This window comes from Homo sapiens, chromosome 1, assembly GCF_000001405.40.
Source record: "Homo sapiens chromosome 1, GRCh38.p14 Primary Assembly".
Classification (NCBI taxonomy): domain Eukaryota; kingdom Metazoa; phylum Chordata; class Mammalia; order Primates; family Hominidae; genus Homo; species Homo sapiens.
In genome coordinates this window covers 151,724,127-151,731,754 of record NC_000001.11, presented here as the reverse complement: position 1 = coordinate 151,731,754, position 7,628 = coordinate 151,724,127, and the positions used below count along the sequence as shown (strand labels likewise).

At 46.9% G+C, this 7,628-nt stretch overlaps 1 protein-coding gene across 5 annotated transcripts in view; it reads right to left on the bottom strand.

The window, feature by feature from the left end:
• Positions 1–1,949: 1,949 nt before the first annotated feature.
• Positions 1,950–7,628, bottom strand: part of RIIAD1 (regulatory subunit of type II PKA R-subunit domain containing 1) — an 18,255-nt gene continuing 12,576 nt past the window's right edge. For 3 of the 5 annotated variants that reach the window (XM_047418090.1, XM_047418091.1, XM_047418092.1), the window contains 4 exons: positions 7,517–7,616; positions 4,134–4,180; positions 2,862–2,989; positions 1,950–2,267 (listed from right to left, as the gene is read on the bottom strand). In XM_047418090.1, the coding sequence (XP_047274046.1) occupies positions 2,938–2,989; positions 4,134–4,180; positions 7,517–7,616 (199 nt within the window). In that variant the 3' untranslated portion in view covers positions 1,950–2,267; positions 2,862–2,937. The remainder of the gene's footprint in view (positions 2,268–2,861; positions 2,990–4,133; positions 4,181–7,516; positions 7,617–7,628) is intronic. The other 2 variants (XM_047418094.1, NM_001144956.3) reach the window with 1 other exon arrangement.

The window sequence follows — 7,628 nt, the reverse complement described above, 5'->3', positions numbered from 1 at the left end:
TCTAGCTTATGAACAAATGGCTACCCCAAGCTGCAAGGAAGCCTGGGAAGTCAGGGAATGCCATTGTTACGGTTGGCCCAGGTCAAATTCCATCCACTACCTGGGGCTGAATCCACTGCTGCCCTCAACAAACCTGGAGTTCCGTTAGCAAGAAAGAAAAGGATAAGGGCGAGCAGGTGACAAACAGGACCTGCCAGCACCATCCTGCTCAGCAGAGTGGAAGCACCAAGGTGCTCTTGACTACCCTCTTCCCAGGTCTACCTGGCAAACTCTTTTTTTTTTTTTGAGACGGAGTCTCGCTCTGTCACCCAGGCTGGAGTGAAGTGGCGCGATCTCGGCTCACTGCAACTGCCGCCTCCCGGGTTCAAGTGATTCTTCTGCCTCAGCCTCCTGAGTATCTGGACTACAGGCGCGCGCTACCTCGCCTGGCTAATTTTTGTATTTTTAGTAGAGACGGGGTGTCACCATATTGGCCAGGCTGGTCTCAAATTCCTGACCGCTTCGGCTTCCCAAAGTGCTGGGATTACAGGTATGAGCCACCGGGCCTGGCCAGCAAACCCTTTCTAATCCATCACATGCCAGTTCTCGTGGGATTGACCTCACCCTCCCAGGCAAACCTGGTGCTTTTTCTTCTACCTCCCCTTATATTATGTACCTACTTCCATCAGAGGTATGTAATTGCCAATATAGCAATTGATGTAATGCGACTGCTCATTCAATTATGCAGGCATCATTTTCTCTGCAAATGCTTGCTGATTTCCTGCTATTTGCCAAAGACTGCTAGGAGTCAGGAATTCAGTAGTGAACCAGTTAGATTTTTAGGTTTGCTCCCTGCCCTCATGGTGCTTTCAGTCAAATAGGTGAGATATTCAGACAGAAAATAAGCCCATCTCCTCAGACTATAAATAACTCTATGGCGGGACTGTCTTTATGTCTTGCCCCCAGGACATAAAACAGCATCTCACACAAAGCAGATGCCCTATGAACATGTGCTAAATTCATTCTTTACTCAGGAAGGCATTGAAATGTACCTTAAGTGTAAATATTTTAAAAGAAATGCATTTCTTATTTCTGCCAGGAAACCACCCCAAGAATGAACCACTATACTCTCCCAGTATTAAATCATGTGCTACAGCATCTTGGAGAACACTTTGCTCTCTCCCCACATTGTTCCAGGTCTCTTTCCCCAGGAAAGGTTCTCGCATTGTCTAATCTAACACTCCACATCAGAGATCCTTAGTAGGTGTGTGTTTTTTGCTGAAGGGTTCGTCTGGATTTTCTAAAGAAGGGTATCTTATTGTCAGTGCCATAGCTCCCGAAGTGTGACTCTGAAGGCACTAAAAATAACTCCTCAGGTTCCTATTCCATAGCTTATTATGTGTAGTTTTAATAGTTCTTTAAACACCCTGTTTTGTTGCCCTTTCTGCTACTGCAAGTGATGGCAGCTAGGAACAAGGCCGACAGAGACAAGGGAAATAAAAATAATACAACCCCTGCTTTGGTCTGGGCTTCTGTTGCTACGGTGATGTTGACAAATAACGCACAGGTGAGAGGTTCTTTCTACAGTGGAGCCAGTGCATCGTGCAGGCCAGAGGGGTAGGACATAACCATGAAAGACCCCCCGCAAGCTCCTAGGCCTGAAAAGGACTTACTGAGGCCATCTGGTCCACTCCCATACCTCTTACCTGAAATCAAGTGGATGGGCAGCAAGTTCCCAAAAATCCTCAAGAACAAAGCCCACAACTCCCAAATCCCTTGTTGGGCACATATTTCACAATATCCATGACCCTGAATGGGTTTTCTGTGGCTAATCTCACATTCTCTTGATGTCCTTCCAGCCCGATTCCTCTTACAATTGCTTCTATGGAAATCAAAGTTAATCATCACCTTACACTCTGTACAGTAACCCAGGAAGTAAGATAAACAAGAAAACAAAACCACAGCTGAAGCATGGACTTGCTTGTTTCTGTGCCCCCGTGATCAGCTGTGTTCTTCCCAGGGGGTGGGCACGACAGCCCACTGACCCAGCAAGAGGCCCCTGGCCGCCCTGAAAGCAGAAACAGGCCGGCTGCCTCACACGTCAAAGTGGGGCACAGCAGCCCTCCCCTGAAGGATGGCTTCCTCCTCTTGAGTGAAATAAAGCAGAGAGAGCAGGAAGGTCCGTGTTTAATGAATATCTTTAAAAGCTTTTGCGACAGTAGACAGAGCCCAAGGCAGCTTGGAAACCCACACTGATGGCAGTAGGGCTCTCATGCCTCCAGATGACCCTGCAAAACAGAAATGGTTCCACCAAATTAGGAGTGTGACCTTTTCCCACCTCACATTTTTTTTTTAAATCCCAGCTTTCAATATCATTTCAGGAATCATTCTGCCTGAAAAACGTGTGGTGGCCTTAATGGCACAGCCTGGCTTGAAGATGAGGCAGGAGTGGGAAAGTGCCCAATCCAAGAAGCAAGGAGGGAAACTGCTCACACCCCTTCCAGAAGCAATGGAACCGTCTCCCCTCTCACCACCAAGGTCACACAGGAAAGGCCACCAGCAGGAACATCATATTGATGCTAATGGCCCCCTCCCCATTTCCCTGTTGCCATCTTTACCCCTGAACTACTGTACTTCCACTTCCATTCCCTTAATCCATTCCACTACATTAAGAAGCTTCCTGCTACTGACATGACAGATCAACCCTGGGCCTCTCTTCACAGTCCCTAATTCCCCAAAACAGTAGAGGAAAAACTAAACATTTACATTAAACTTCTCTTTAAATTCTCCACTTGATTTCTTTCACACCCTGGACCAATAAACCAGAGCTTATTTTCACAAGAGTAAAGAAGCCTCTGTCTGTAAGTGAGGTTAACACCCACCCCGAGGCTGGATTCCGTCTGGTCTCTCCCAACAGCTGAGCATCATGATTTTGCTAATTAAGCCGCTTTCTTGTCTTTAATTAGCTGCATGTGAATCTTGTTGGGAAGTCTTGGATCCGTGAAGTAGTCTGGGATAAAAATCAAAAAGAAGACATCATCTATACCCAAAGGGAAAAGATTTACCCATGGAAGGAGACAGCTTACTCCACCAAAAAGTTAGGATGGCTTGGTACGCAGGACTGCTACTACTGGTGGCCCTGCTTTACAATGTAATATGGTAAAATGAACGGTCACTGCCCCCACCCGAGCAGTTCTGATTCTGCCAGCTCCAACATTCCCAGGAAGGGCTCCCAGAGGCTGGCTGCCTCCCCTCCACGCTGTGCCTGGCCCCACCCCCCACCCCCCACCCCCCACCTACCCCGAGTCGCACCGTTTGCTCCTCCGCCTGCTGACGCACAGAGAGCCATCAGAGGGCTCAGGGATTCTCTGGGTTTTCTGCTCCAGGCCCATCTTGGGGCCCAAATAAATGCCAAGTATTATTCTTGTCTCAGCTCCGCTTGCCAGCTCCTGTCTCTGAGCTATCACGCCTTCTCTGAGAATACCCTCTCAGAGGAGAGCCAGGCTCTCGCAGGATGACGCCAGATGAGGGTTTTTATACACCCAGCATACTGTGAATCAGAGGCAGCATCTGCTGCGCTAGCAAAGGCGTATTGAGATTCTGTTAGCAATGGTTTGAGGTCTGGGATGTAACCAATTCTCAGGACTAACAGGAACCAAGAAATCGTCCAATCCATCCCTTTCCCTCTAAATACCGTTGACCTTAAGGCAGCCAGTCCATTAGAATCACCTGGGGAGTCTTTAAAGCTATGTATGCTGGGCCCCACCCCAGACTAATTAAATAAAACTCTCTGGTGGTGGGGACTGAGCATCAGTAGTTCTAAAAGCTCCCCAGGTGATTCTGATGTACAGCTAGGGTTGAGAACCCTGCTTTAAGATTCCCAAGGGAAAAACTGCCGCTATGTTCCTTTGGGAATCTCAAAATTCTTAACAATCCTCACCATGAGGAAGTTCTGCCTCATTTCTTGTCTGTCCTCATTTTGAGGAAATGATGATGGAGGAAAGAAAAAGCTGAAAAAAGCTCCCTTTGGGGACATCAGGTGAAGGAGTACCCCAGACTCTGGGAGAATCCTGGGCTCATTCAAGTCTAAACTCACAATCATGCTCCCTGCGCTGGCTTTGTCAGATACCCAAAACCGACGCTGCCTTACTCACCTGCAGCAAATTCTAGGATGTTGTCTGGTCTTTTCAAAAATATTTCTCTGGAAAACATTAAGGGATAGGATGGGAGGTAAAGTAGACTTTAACGCAGGCTGTGGCTACTGTTTCAGGTCCTGTACTTTCACAGATGAACCTGAGACACAACCATCTTGGGAGTCAATAAATCCGCAGACTCCTGACAAAGACCCTTTCATTCATGATTTTCCTTCAACTCCGTATCTAAGGCAAGGAGTGAAGCATCCTAAATGGCAATACACTAGGATATTGCTTACGTCGAGAAAGAGCTGTGCTGCAGCCAAGTGGGGCTTGTCATTCCGTCAACAATCTTGTTTATGTGTGCATTTATTTATTTATTTGAGACAGCGTCTTGCTCTGTCACCCAGCCTGGAGTACAGTGGCGCGATCAACCTCCCTGGCTCAAGAGATCCTCCCATCTCCAGCCTCTCGACTAGCTGGGACTACAGGCATGTGCGATGGCTAATTTTTTTTTGTAGCGGCAGAGTCTTACTATGTGGCCCAGGCTGGTTTCTAACTCCCAGGCTCAAGCGATCCTCCTACTTCGGCCTCCCAAAGTGCTGGGATTACAGGCGTGAGCCACGGCACCCGGCCTCAACGATCATTTTCACTGAACCAGATCTCAAGCCAGGGGCAAGAGGCAAAGATGAAGAACATGCCGGCCGGCCCACGAATGGTGGGAGATATGCAGCCCCACAATGTCCTGAGTAAGCTTAACCATGAATTCAAGGGGCAGAGGGAGATACAATAAACAGAGCTAAAAGATGGACCGCAGATGGTTATTGGCCCCTCAGTCCAGCAAGGAGACACTGTGGTAACACCTGCAGGGCCAATGCCACTAGAGAGTTGAAAATGCCTTACATTGCATAGAGTTTTATGGTTCATAAAGTATGTTCACAAATATTGTCTCACTTTACAACAACCCTGTGAAACAACCATTATTATGCCCCCATTTTACATCCAAAGAAACCAAGCCTTCAAAAGATTAATGATTTGCCCAAGTTCATAAACTTGGTAAATGAAGTAAAGAGGGCCCAGGTCTTGTGACTCCAAGGTCAGTGCCCTCTATAATATGTTCTCTTGGCCAAGGCCTCCCAACTCCCCAAGAAGCCCCTCCTTCCTAACCTTCAAGAATTTTGCCCCCCTTCTCCTTCAATTCATTTTGATAATTATTGGGCACAAATTATGTGCAAGTAATTGCACTAGATATGAGTGACTGCTTTTTTCAAAATAAAATAAAATATAGCCCTACCTCAAATAATTTACAGGTAAGTAAAAAGGAAGAGGTTAGTTTCCAAATGTCCAAAAGGCCAAGGAACCTCTGACAAGTGCTAAAGAGGAGTATTAAATAGTGCTCTGGGAGATCAGAGTGGGGAGAGAGGTTACTGAGAGGGGGACCCCAACAATCTTCACAGAGCAGCTGGCATTTGAGAGGACCCTTGAAGTACACATGGGATTGTAGTAGGCAGGATGAGGGTTGAGGGACAAAAACATTCCAGATCCAGGGAAACAGCAAGAGCAAAGGCCCAGAAAGAGAAACAGTTTGTGTTCTATAGACTATGACTTCCTTGAGAGTAGGAAGTGGGTTGTAGACACCTTTCTATCTTGAGTCCAAAAGAGCACTCAAGAGGCATCTGTGCCTGAGCTCCATAGGGTCAGCAGAATGAGCAGAAATGTGGTCTGGCTTGAGTGAGGGACGCATGCAGGGAGTAGTGGGAAACAGAAGAGGTTCTATTACGGAGAGCCTTGAATGCTGGGGAGGGACATTTATACTCAATCTGAAAGACAATGGAAATAGACAAAACATGGCATAACACATGCTGGAATATTATACAGCAGTGAGAATGGAGGATCTACAAGATACGACTGAGCAAAAGGAAACAGGCACAAAAGAGCACATAGTGTAAAATTCCATTCATATAAAATACAAAAGCGCACAATAAATCCGTGCTAGTAGAAGTCAGGATACTGGCTACTGTTTTAAGGGGAGTGACTGGGAGGGGCACAAAGGATGTGAGGTGTTGGTAAGGTTCTATTTCTTCATCTGAACAATAGTACCATGTGTATTTTCACCCTCTGACAGTTCATCCAGCTTAGGATATGTCACTTTTCAGTATATTTCAATAGAATTTTTAAAAACAAACCCAAAAAAGCAACGTTGTGGAACTACTGAAGATTTTTCCAGCCAAGGAAGGACATGATTACTGCTGTATTTGTAATCCCAGCACTTTGGGAGGCCGAGGCAGGCAGATCACGAGGACAGGAGTTTGAGACCAGCCTGGCCAACATAGTGAAACCCCATCTCTACTAAAAATACAAAAAATTAGCCGGGCCTGGTGGCAGGCACCTGTAATCCCAGCTACTTGGGAGGTGGAGGCAGGAGAATAGCTTGAACTCAGGAGGTGGAGGCTGCAGTGAGCCGATATTGCGCCACTGCACTCCAGCCCAGATGACAGTGGGAGACTTCGTCTCCAAAAAAAAAAAAAAAAAAAAGGCGAGGTGCGGTGGCTCATGCCTGTAATCCCAGCACTTTGGGAGGCCCAGGCAGGTGGATCATGAGGTCAGGAGATCAAGACCATCCTGGCTAACGCAGTGAAACCCCGTCTCTACTAAAAAAAAAAAAATGCAAAATAATTAGCCGGGCGTGGTGGCGGGTGCCTATAGTCCTAGCTACTCAGGAGGCTGAGGCAGGAGAATGGCGTGAATACGGGAGGCGGAGGTTGCAGTGAGCTGAGATCGCACCACTGCACTCCAGCCTAAGCGACAGAGCGAGACTCCGTCTCAAAAAAAAAAAAAATACTTTCTACAATTTCATACCTGGCTATCTATCATATCTGCAGCACAAAACCTGAGGTTTCTGTGTACCTTAAAATAAGTCAGATTCCTACTCTTTCCATTTTTCAGGTCCAAAACTCAAGGTGTTAAGAGTTTGGTACGCTGTATTTACCAATATAGGCTGGAGAATTGTGGCTGAATGGCCATAAATCATTAGGATCTAAAAAACCCAAGTGGGGAGTTTGCTTCCCAGAAAGAACCCTTCAGAGCTTCTTTTGGCTTGGAATGTATCAACAGCAGATATCTGCAGAACAGACAAGGACAGGCACGGTGCTCAGGACTCTGCCCTCACTTCTCCCTTCTTCTTTTCTCATAGGAAGGACCATGTGAGGTGGCCAGCAGGGACAGAAGCTGATTCTGGTTCATCCCGGTACCAATCAAAGGGAACAATGACACCAAACAAACAAAAGTAAACCCTAAAACTTCAAACACTAAACCCTCTGCAAGCTCCACCCAGGAAAAGAGGTCAGAAGAATTTCAGGTAGAGTAGCTTTAGGGACAGCAAAAAGAAAAACCTGGTGGCCTACCTGGCCTTGACAGGAACATGGTAAGAAAGGAAAGGAAGTATCTGGGGCTGTTCCCACAGCAGCCAGTCTCAGATACCCAGGCTGCTCCTGGAAACTGTTCCTGGACAAAGAG